Genomic DNA, 12,529 nt, shown 5'->3' on the forward strand with positions numbered 1-12,529 from the left:
TGCCAGCAGCTGATAAGTCTTTCAGGCCAAAGAGGGAACCCTGAAGTGACAGAAAAGCCTTACTTAATTTCCTTTTTTTTCTGCCTTGCACAGGAAAAGTTACCCTCAGCTATATCTGACTCTTGCTCCTTTCCAATTGCTAAGCCTCAGTCAGAGACGCGTGATTTTATCTATAGCTCAATCCAATATTTAATGACAACTTCAGAATATGATATGTATTCCCGACACACTTGCTGACATGTTTTGGATCACTAAGATAATGAATCATTTATATTTTGCGAATTCCTTTCAAACTTTTTCAAGGAAATAATTCATAAGTGCGTGCCCTCCCTCCCTCCCTCCCTCCTCCCCTCCCATCCCCCCACTTAATTTTGGAAGCATAGACAACTCCTGTTTCAAATTGTTCCCAGTAGAACTCCTGAGTATCAATTTAAAAAGATAATTAAGGCCAGGCGTGGTGGCTCATGCTTGTAATCCCAGCACTTTGGAAGGTTGAGGTGGGCAGATCACGAGGTCAGGAGATCGAGACCATCCTGGCAAACATGGCGAAACCCCGTCTCTACTAAAAATACAAAAAAAAAAAATTAGCCAGGCATGGTGGCACGCGCCTGTAGTCCCAGCTACTCGGGAGGCTGAGGCAGGAGAATCACTTGAACCCGGGAGGTAGAGGTTGCGGTGAGCTGAGATCACGCCACTGCACTCCAGCCTGGGCGATAGAGCGAAACTCCGTCTCAAAAAAAAAAAGATAATTAAGCAGTACAATTATCTGTTGGTTTCACCATTGCATGATTTTCTTACTTGTTCTTACTTGAAAACACTGGCAAGTGAAAATTGCCACAAGTTTCACCTTGATCATAAATGCATTTTCTGGGCAATTTTATGTTTGGGGATTGATAACCCAGGGCACTAATTTACTTTACATAATATGAGGACTTAAATTTAAAGCATTCTCAAGGAGTGGCAAAAGACTGAGGTGCTGCTTTCTACAAATGAAGTCATCCATTAAATGTCTACTAGTGTCAGGCATTCACAAACTCATAGACAAGTGAAGAGTTAAATTCTATGATGTGTCATAAAGAATCAATCTACAGAAACAGGAGAAATTTCTATTGATAAGGGAAGTGGCAAGCATTGAGGCAGAATAAACAGGCATCAAGAGGCTGGAAGGAGAGGTCACAGTATTAAGAAGATAATGCACCAACCCCGGGATCTTGCACCAGACTGCCATGAGCATAACATCGTTAAGTCTCTTTCTTACCTAAGTTTTCCTGTTTTGCTCTCCCAGGGAATTTCACTTTAAGGGAATACGTCCCTGACTGTATAGCAAAGATCAGGAAGCAAACAGGATTCATTTGTATAGAGATCGCTTTGTTCTCTTCCACAAAGCCAGGAATGTCTGCATTCACGTTTAAAACAACAACAAAATTATCTTTCATAAGATATTTTCTCCTTCAAACAGGACAAGAGAATCGAAGGATTATGTCCAGCATGGAATTTCAGTCCCCTTCCCTTTTGACCTCAACTGACAAGGCCCTTTGTGCCTTTTATGTAATATTAGTGGTTTTCAGAATGTGCTCCCTGGACCAGCAGTGACAGCAGCATCACCTGGGAAGCTGTTAGACATGCAGATTCTCTGAGCCCATCCTACCCATGCCCAAGTGAACCAGAAACTCTGGGGAGACTGGGTGCTCAATGCAAGATTTAATACATTCTCCCAGTGATTCTGATGTTTGCCAAAATATGAGAACCATTGCTTTATGTTAATTGACTTACTTTGTTATTTCACGCCCACTATCTATAAGCTAATTCCCACTGCAGTGAGGCAGAGAGAGATGGCTCCACACTGCACTCTTAGGTACAATCGAGCGTCCCCATTTGGTGTTGAGAGGTCTGCTTTATTCTTCCCATTTATTTGATGGGCACGTTTTTAACTTAGAACAATATTTCTCTCCAAACAGTGTGAGCATCTTATTGTAAGTTTTTACAAACATTTTTTTAGCCATTTCAGGTAACAACCCCCAGCGTAACAATCCCCCACGTGGCCTGTAACACCCAGAACTCTGGTGAATGTAATGATTGTTTTGCAGACAGGAAGTGACTGCAGCATTAACACGATCCAGAAGTGAGCGGTGATAAACTCTGGCACTGCTACAGAAAGGAAAAACCAGGCTCAGAGATGCAGAAACTCAGAGAACACATTCTGTAGCTGAGAGGAAAAACCCACACAAACTCAAAACAAAACCAGTTCAAATAAACCTCGCTCCTTGCCATCTATAAACAGAGTTAAGTTCAAGGGAGAATCTTCTGGCCCCAACAAGAACCATGGAATGAGATAAGATGTTTTCTCCTTTATTTTAATGTGTGGACTGCATTGGCGCCCCATTATGAAGGCATTTCAAATATCCATTAATGATTTAATTGACTAAGTGCCATTCTTCCCTGACTACCATGTTGGGTTTATCTGTGCAGAGCTTCCTGCGATTATCTTAAGTCTCTGGCAGCTTAATGAAGGCTGTATGTCGGCAAACACTATTTTTTAAAAATTAGAGGATAAACTTACAAGGAGTAAATGCTCCATTAGATGTTGAGAGGTCACTCATGCCCCAACTTGACTCGGATGTCTGACACAGCTGCTTCAAGAATTCCACGTGGCCCCAGGCGATGGAGCTGTTAAATCACGTTCACGTAGGACATTCCTCTTCTGGCCTGAAATACAATCTGGTTAATGAATTTACCTTCTTCACATCCCAGGTACCGGTCAGAATACCCAACCTGAAGATCTTTTGTGCTGAGTATTTAAAAATCTCTCTCTCATAGGATTCCTACAAGAGTCAACATTTTGTTTCTCTGAAAAAGGAACACTCGCTTCCAGTCTGTTGTCACATATCTGAACTGTTAGACCCGGCTGTGTTTTCCAGGAGCAATAATTGGAATTCTCTCTAACCCAACCAAACTCTTTTTAATGAGTTCAGGGGAATCAGCGTGTTTGTGTTGGCTTCCTGGACCTTCGAGGCTCACAGACCTAGCCAGCTCAGGCACAGATCAGCAGCCGGGGAAGGCATTAGTCTCCCCCACATATCTACCCTGCGAGCTTTATGGCCAAGAGCAATGCCAGGGAGTTCAAGTGATTAGTTATGTTAGGGAAACGAAAGCCAACAACCCAAGAATCAGCGTCCCCAGGAAAAGGTCAATAGGCCTCGGTGCTGTAATGAATGTAACAAATATTTAAATAAGGATAATATTGAAATGTGTTCAGTCATCTTGATTTATTTCCAATTACTTGGCTTTTGCTCCACTGAGTAGTTCTGAAATTCAAAGTTGATTTCTGCTGACTTGTGGAGCCACACCACCTCTATTTTTCTTCCTTCTACGTGCCTTTCAATCCTATTTCACAGTCCCTTCCAAAAGGACCACAAAGCATGGCAAACAGAGATAGACTCAGTCTACCAAGTGGCTACAAAGGATGTTGTTTTATAAAGCAGAGAACCTGAGCCAAGCTTCTGCACAATACAGAGGAAGAGTCAAGGCTCTAGACAGACTGGTCCAGGCCATGGTGAATGGCGAGGCCCATTCAATCCCAACCATCAGAGGAGCTTTTTTCCTTTCCAAAGCATGAGTCCTACAGGGATGAAGATGAGAATCTCCTTGAATTTAGAATTGTAATGTCTCAACTGGAGGAGTTCCAAAAGATTCCCTACTATTAGCTCCAGGAAGCAGAGGCTGGGCCAGATGAAATGGATTGCCCACGATTCTCAGCGAGTTGAGAGGAAGGGCACTGGCCCAGGGGATGCTTCCCTGTTCTCCCTCCTGCCCACCCTGCTGCACGCATGCATCGATTTAATCATAAGCGAGCCTCAAACCATGGCCACGCACTGTTCTGACACTTGCTGGGAAATAATCCCAGTGCCTCCTCTGGGTACAGTGCAGTAGGTAGGGTGAGAGGGTAGGTGCCAAGTGGGATCTACTACACAGACTGGTAGAGTTTTACCTACCTCCATACCTGTCCCCACTCACTCTTACTCTGTCTTAGGAAGCCAACGGGCAGTAGAACTTCTCTCCTAACACTTTACCATGAAAAAGTTTCAATGGGCACGCCAGCACCATTTTAAGGTTGTTGGCAGCATCCTCACCGTGATGCCCACTGGTATCTCAACAAGGATGGAAAAAGTGACAGCCTTTAACTATGGTTCTTCTTTCAACCCAAGTAGTTACCATTTATTGAGCACGTACTGTGTACCAAGAACTACAGAGGTGCATGTCTCTGACCCTTGCAACATCTCCATTGGATAAGTTTTATAACTGCACTATAAGTATTATTATATTTGCACTGTATCACTTTTTTTTTTTTTGAGACAGAGTCTTGCTCTGTTGCCCAGGTGGAGTGCAATGGTGCATTCTCGGCTCACTGCAAGCTCCGCCTCCCAGGTTCACGCCATTCTCCTGCCTCAGCCTCCTGAGTAGCTGGGACTACAGGCGCCTGCCACCACACCTGCCTAATTTTTTTGTATTTTTTTAGTAGAGACGGGGTTTCACCGTGTTACCCAGGATGGTCTCGATCTCCTGACCTCATGACCCGCCCGCCTCAGCCTCCCAAAGTGCTGGGATTACAGGTGTGAGCCACCGTGCCCAGCCTTCTGTTTTGTTTTTACTTTAAATTTTAGCAAGAATATAAGTTCCACAACAGAAGTGACCTTGCTTCTCTTGTTAACAATTCCATTCCAAGCACCTACCATCTGCCTCACACATAGTAGTTATTAATAAGTGCTTGCTAAATGAATGAGGGAATCCTCACCTCATAGGGTAGGAAACTAAGTCTTTTTAGAGAGGTGAATTAATTTATTCAAAGCCTCCCAACTGAATAGAGGAGAGGGTGCCTTTCAAACACCCTCTCCTCTATATATTTTTATAAATGTAATTAGATACAAAGATGTGCTTATGACAAATGGAAATGGAAACTGTCAAGATTCTCAATGACTCTACCCAAGGCCCATATGACATAAGTGTGTTCACTAAAGGCTCTGACCTCTACAACCCCTGAACTTGACATAGGGAGAAATAACAAAGTTTAATACTTTAATAGATGGAGTATTCTGCCTTAATGACACATTTCTACTACTCGGGAGATTGGCAATTTGTTGTGAAATAGCATCTCCTACTACTGACCTTACTTGAATGACAGAGGCTAAGTCAACACCAGACCTATAAGAAAAACATTGAGTTCTTGAGATGCAGTATATATGATGACGAACTCCATGTGTGCCCACAGTAACGAATGGGGTTGTTATTAGGAAATCTGCTAAATACCTAGAATTGCAACCTTCCACAGTAGTATCATGATTTGCAAAGTTGATATAACAGAAATTGATTAGGGAAAGAAATAAAGATTGCTTGGGGAACTATTAGTAGGCTTCAGGACCATGAACATTTGTTTGAACAAAGGTGCTTTTCCAGATGCTCTGTGTCCTCACAGAACAAAATAATAACCGAAGCTGAAACCTGCAGGGTAGAGGATGTGGGGTCACTATAAAATGGAAGCACCCTCATGAGGGGGCCAAATGGAGGTGGGAAAATATTAGGTCCAAGGGTTTTCTGAAAATAGGACACTGGGATAATTGCAACCTAAGCTTAAGGCAGGAGTTAGAAGAGCTAGCCTATCAGAGGCCCCATAAGTACTTATTTTTTTACTTTAGGAGGGGATAAAGGCCATCTCAGAAGAGAAAGTCACTGACTTTCAATTAATCTGCTTTCTACCATGTTACAAATAAAATTTAGGGAAACTAACAGAATCTTAATGAAAAAAAATAAATCTTCAGAAGTTATTATCTGGGAAACCTGGACATTGTCTGAGGACCTGGTTGCCTGTGACAACATACATTTGTCGGGAGGGATTGCCAGGGGGTCAGATATCAGCCCATAAAGTTGCTAATATAACTGATGCAGCTTGATGAGAGGAAAAGCATCAATCAAAGTCAGAAAGTCTGTGTAGGTGAGGTGGGGGTGGGAGTGCCGGCCCTAAAGCCTTGATTCTGAAAACAGAAGGTCTCCACGGAATTTTTCTGTAGGAAAAATGGGAGGCCAAGTAAAACCTGGTGCTGGGAACAGGTGATGAGCACTAGACTTGACCTCTCTAAATGAAGGATGTAGACCACTAGTTTCCTCCAAATTACAACCACCAGAAATTTAGTTCTTTCAATAATGACTTCAAAGTTTAAAAACCTCTCATTTTAAGTTGTCCATGTTTGGTGGCAAAAAAAAGAAAGAACATATACATGGACAGAAATGTACAAATGTAGAGTCATTGCTTTCTAGATGTCAAATGCAGATGACTGAGTTTATCTTATGCCTGGGTTTATGGCCTAGTATCATCATTGGTCCAGGGAAGTTTGCTCTCTTACTTTACTTGTGTATTGACTTTTTTTTTTTTCGAATCCACTACTCCCAATCTCCTCCCCACACAGGCAACAGTTCTAATGCATTTAATATGTATCCTCAAATTTGTAGGTATCCCTATATAATGTAGAATTGTTTTGTGTGTATATATATTTTTAAATTTATATAAATGGCATTGGACTAAGGATCGCATTTTTCCCCTTTTAAATTCAGTGGTATGCTTGAGAGATCTGTCCCTGTTGCTATTATCTACTGGGTTTTACTTCATGACGCCCATCCACTACATTTTACTGAATGATTTCCCTTCAAATGGACCACAGGTTAACTCTATTTCCTTTATGACACAAACAGTAAGCAGCAAACATGTGCATCCATGTCTTCCTCTAGATTTATGCAAGGATTTTTTTTTCTGAGATTACCCATAAGTGGAATTCTGAGTCCTTAGCAGAAACAACCATTTAAGTAAGCCCTGCCTCAGTTGCTCTCCAGGATACCGGATCAGTTCCCATTCCCACCAGTAGGACACAAAGGTTTCTTTTATCCCATGTACTGCTAACCCATGGATATAAATTGGATATAATTTTTACCAATTAAAATAGGTAGAATATGTTTTCCCATTCTTAATTTAATTTGCATTTATCTGAGTGTTACTGAGAGTTTAAGCATCTCTTTATATATATTTTTAGCCATTCACATTTCCTTTCTAGGAACTGTTGTTCATATCCTTTGGTCATAATTTTTAAAGTTTTCTCTTTCTTGTGTATCAGCAGAGTCCCTTACATTCTAGATATTGTTATCTCGTTGGTCCTGGGCAGTGCAAATACATTTTCCTAATCTCTCATCTGTCTGTTAGCTTTTTCTATATCGTCTTTTTAAAACAAAAGTCTTTACGCTTTGTGTAATCAGAATCATCAATTATTCACCTAATGGTTTGTTCTATTCAGGTCATGTTAAAGTTCTTCTTTTCCTGGAGGTCCTATATTTTCTTCTATTAGCATTCTGGTTTTACTTTTCACATTTAAGTCTTCCATCCATCAAGAATCTACTTTGTATATGGTGTAAGGTAGGGCTCTAAGCTTTGTTTTTCTTTGTATTGTGAGCCAATTTTCTTAACACCTTCTATTAAATCATGTGTCCTGTTGCCCATTGACCTTTATCATCTCAAGCTGCCATGTATCTAGGTATCAGTTATAAATTATTTCTGTTCAATTGGTCTACTTCTCTGTTCTTGTACCACTAACACATAGTTTTTAGTTCTATAGTTGCATACTCTATCTTAATATCTGATCACAGAAATTTGCCTTCTTTTGCTTCTTTTCCAAAGTAACTTAGCTATTCATGGACCTATACTCTTCTGTATACAGAATAGCTTTCTTACATTCATTCCTAAATCCACTGGAATTTTGTTCTGGATCACCCTGAAACTGTACATTAGTATAGAGAGAATTGGCATGTTTATCATCTTAAAGCATCCCATTTATATACATGGTACAGTTTGCCTTTTATTCACATTTTCTTAAAATATTGTCCATAGATACTATGTATTCCTTGTTAATTTCTAGATATTTTATAATTTTTGTTGCCATTATGAAGGCATCTTGTCTTTTATTTACTGGTTACTGGTGGTAGGGAGAGATGTAATTAATGCTTCCAAGTTGATCTGTGTCTTGCAGATTTCCTGAGCTCCCTAATCATTTTCCTGATTTTGACAGATTTCCATTGAGATATCATCAGCAAATGACAATTTAATACTCTTCCTCCCAACCATTAGACTGACATTGTTTTATTTGTTTTTATCTTAGAATTGTCCAGGGCTTTTGATACTGTATTAAGTAGCAGCAGCATATGTTTCTAATCTTAAAGGAGATGATTTCAAAGTCTAAAGTATGTTGTCTACTGTAGGTTAGGGGCATAAATCTTTACCACATTAAAAAGGTCCTTTTCTAGGCATGGTGTGCTAAGAGACTTTTAACATAAATGTATGTTCAACTTTATAAAAATGCTTTTTCTGTATCTATTAAGATGATCAAGATATTTTTCTTTTGTGGATTAATTTAGCAATACATTTTCTGAGGTTGAACCATCTTTGCTTTTCTTGGCTAAACCCTCCATGATCATCTGTTTGTTACTTTCACTTTCTAAAATTTCATTAGCTAATATTTCATTTTGCATTTTTTACCTATATGTTCAAAAATCACATTGGCCTTTTGTACTGTCCTTGGCAGAATTTGCAATAAAAAATACAATAATCTCATAAAATAATTTCTAATGTTTCATCATTTTCCTATTTCCCAGAGTTGTTTATTTTCTAACACTGGTGGAATTTACTTATAAAACCACTGGATCTGGGGCTTTTGTGGAATAAAGAGCTTTATCACCATTTTTAATTTCATTATTGTTTATTGGTTTATTAAATTTTTCCAGTTTTTCACTATTTTTGGCATTTTGTATTTTTCCAGAAATATAGTTCTCATGGAAAACTTTCCTTGAAAGTTTCCATTTCATGTAGATTTCAAATATATTGGATAGTTTTTCATAATATTCTTCCATAATATTTTTCTCAGCTGTGTCTATTTTATTTCCCTCTTTTTCATTCTGTAATTTTGCTTATTTTCTCTTTCTCTCGATCAGTCCTGCCAGAAAGTGCTTCTCTTATTGATGCTTTCAAAGTACTAGATTTTGGTTTTATTAATCTTATTTTTAGTGTACCTTAAATTTTATCATAAATTTATTATATCTCTATAATAAATTTTGTTCTTTTTGGGGAACAAAATTTGGGGGGAATTTGTTCCTTTTCCAACTTCTTCATTTGAACACAAATAATTTGTTGTTGGTCTTTGTTGCTTTCAAATAAATGTGTCTAAAGCTATATCTTTCCACTGGTTACTATTTTAGCTGTCTTACAAATTTTGATAGTTTTTAAAACATTTCTGGGCCGGGCACAGTGGCTCATACCTGTAATCCCAGCACTGTGGGAGACCAAGGCAGGAGGATCATGAGGTCAAGTGTTTGAGACCAGCCTGACCAACATGGTGAAACCCTGTCTCTACTAAAAATACAAAAATTAGCCAGGCGTAGTGGCGTGTGCCTGTAATCCCAGCTACTCAGGAGGTTGAGGCAGAAGAATCACTTGAAACCAGGAGATGGAGGTTGCAGTGAGCCAAGATCACGCCACTGCACTCCAGCCTGGGTGACAGAGCGAGACTCCATCTCAAAAAAAAAAAAAAAAAAAAATTGTGTTTAGTTTTAAATATTTCATCATTTCTGTTAATCATTGTTTAACCAAGTTATTTGGGTTTCAGGTACATGGGTTACTTTTTAGCTTTCTGTTGCAACTGATTCCTTATTTTACTGCATCTTTATCATTGAACATATGATATATTAAACAGGATTCTTTTTGGAATATAGAACTTTTCTTGGTAGCCTAGTAAATTGTAAATGTTTTATGAATAATCCATTCTCAAAATAAAATGTACCTTTACTGTTTGTTGGGCATAGAATTCCATACATATCTACTGGTTTCTCCACTTATTGTATTATTCGGATCTTTTATATCTTTGCTTGTCTTTGGTCTGCTTAACCTATCAGTTTGAGAAAGCTGTTTTAAAATTTCTGTCCACAATTGTTGACTTACCCGTTTCTTCCCATAGTTGACTGACATTTTACATATTTTTAAGACAATATTATCAGGTACATTTATGTTCATTATGATTATATATTATTCTATTGCTACACTTATAAATATGTCACATCCTTCTTTGCCCTTAAATGATTTTTGTTTTTAATCATATTTCATCAGATATAAATATTGCTATCATGGCTTTCTTGTGGTTCACATTTCCCTACTACAGTTGGTCCTTTAACTATCCAGGGATTAGGGGCACTGACCCCCTACGCTGTCAAAAACCCACATGTAACTTTTGACTTCCCTAAAACTTAACTACTAATAGCCTACTGTTGACTGGAATCCTTAGCTATAACAGAAACAGGCTATTAACACATATTTTGTATATGTATATTTTGTATATGTTTTATACACTGTATTCTTTAAGCTAGAACAAAGAAAATGTTATTAAGAAAATGAAGAGAACATATATTTACTATTCATTAAATGGAAGTAGATCATCATAAAAGTCTTCATCCTCATCATCTTTATGTTAGATAGGCTGAGGAGAAGAAGGTAGTGGAGGGGTTGGTCCTGCCCCTCAGAGGCAGAAAGGGCAGAAGGGGCAGAAGAGGTGGAGAAGGTGGAAGCGGGGCAGAAGAGGTGGAGAAGGTGGAAGGGAGGCAGGAGAGGCAGGCACATTCAGTGTAACTTTTATTTTAAAAATTCAGTGCATAAGTGGACCCATGTAGTTCGAACCCATGTTGTTCAAGGGTCAACTGTAATTTTTTTTATCCTTTTGTTATTACCCTAACCAGATTGCCGTCCATCACTACTCTCTTACTGACAAAATATTGCTGGATCTTAATATTGTATCCAATCTGAGTATTTCTGTCTTTTGATGGGTCAATTTATATGTATTGCAATTATGGTTATGTTAGGATTTACTTCTGCCATCTTATTTTACTTTTTTCTCTATTTATTACACTTTCTTTTGTGTATTTTTTTCTTTTTGTTTCTTGCTTTCCATTGGGTAAACTTTCCACCTGTGAGGAACTTATACATTCTAGTTTTGTTTTCTGGTAGTTGCTCCTAACTTGTTAAGATCCGTAGTTACATTCTCCCCGTCTATTTCTTCATCTTAACAATACTTACATCTTTCACTGAACAAAAAAAGTGCCTGTCCCCACCTGCCTCTATCCTCACCTTCTTCTCCTAGCCCATCAACCTAGGTTCATTATGTTGCAAATTTTATTTTGGGTTGTTGTGCACATCAACAATGGTAGTTCTGAGGACAAACATCAATCAATCTTTCTTCTGGAGGCAGATGACTTCAAAGACATTTCTTTGGGGTCTTCCTTCTTCACCCAAGTAAATTTGAAAGATGTATGCTAGAGAGTGGGCTGCTTTCTCCTGGTAGAGTATAGTATAGCTGTTGACTCACAGGCACTTAACAAAAATAAACCTTACCACATGAATAAACATCAAATCATCACAAACAACACTTTAGCCCTGGAAACCTGGTGGGTGAGAAGGGAATGTTTCACCATTCCCAGGAGACAAGCAATCTCACTTCATTGCTGGATGATAGCCCAGGGTGCTGCCCCACGTCCCAAACCACACTCTTCTAAACAGCAGGGTACCTATGTTTATGAAGGGTTGTAAGTGAAAGGTACACATTAAGCAAATATGCATAAGCCAAGACATGCCCATAGTGATAATTTCACACACATATACTGCAGTACAAACATACCTCAGTGGTAGTTATATGTGTTTCTACACACAAACACACACTTATATACACACATACTGTCTCTAAACGATACTTTAGTTTGACAATACAGTACTTAAACTCCCCTAGACTCATTTTTTTTTAACATAAGTTCCATATTATCATAAGCACTGGGATTCAATAGCAGGCAAAAGCTATTAAGCCCAAGGAGAACCAAAACCTAAAACACCTAAATAACCCTTTTACTGAGCTCCCACTAACAGAGCTTCCTATCAGCCAGCGTTTTAGCCCGGTCCCTTCCTTCCATGTGCTCTTTAAAATCTGTCTTTGTCTCATAACTGGAGTTTCCCCAGGCTTCATAAGTCTTTGGATATAAATGAGATTATATTAAATTAATGCCCAGATTCTGCTGACTCTTAAACTTCACCTGCTTCTCTGCAAGAAATCAGCCCTCTGCCTTGGTTTTCTGCAGTTATTTCCAAGAGACCACAGGAGCATGTCACCTACCTCCTCATTCCAGCCTTCCTACTTCTCCCTAAGGAAGGCACATCTGTCATGCCTTCCCCTTCACTGCCAGGGTGATGTCACACCCACTCTGAGGGATCTAATTGCATATCTACAGAGGGAGGAGGAGGTGACTCTTCTTCTGCAGTCTACAGTGGTCCATCACCATCAAAGCACCTAAGCCACACTACTGATGTTCAGAATCTTACAAGTGCTTTGTTGAAACAGCTCCTTCAGCTCTTCGTTTGCAGCTTTCTCTCTCACCAGGGCTCAGACCTCATGGTCCATGGAGGCAGGCT

At 39.2% G+C, this 12,529-nt stretch overlaps 1 long non-coding RNA gene across 3 annotated transcripts in view; it reads right to left on the bottom strand.

Annotated features, from left to right (window-relative positions):
- The window catches only part of LOC105378523 (uncharacterized), a 129,587-nt gene extending 117,297 nt beyond the window's left edge, over nucleotides 1-12,290 (bottom strand). For 2 of the 3 annotated variants that reach the window (XR_007062321.1, XR_007062320.1), the window contains exon 1: nucleotides 2,561-3,075. This is a non-coding gene — a long non-coding RNA (uncharacterized LOC105378523). Of the gene's footprint in view, nucleotides 1-2,560; nucleotides 3,076-12,233 lie in introns of those variants that run through there. The other variant, XR_946380.3, reaches the window with a different exon arrangement.
- Between the last annotated feature and the right edge of the window lie 239 nt (nucleotides 12,291-12,529).

The sequence above is a fragment of the Homo sapiens genome, chromosome 10 (assembly GCF_000001405.40).
Source record: "Homo sapiens chromosome 10, GRCh38.p14 Primary Assembly".
NCBI lineage: Eukaryota > Metazoa > Chordata > Mammalia > Primates > Hominidae > Homo > Homo sapiens.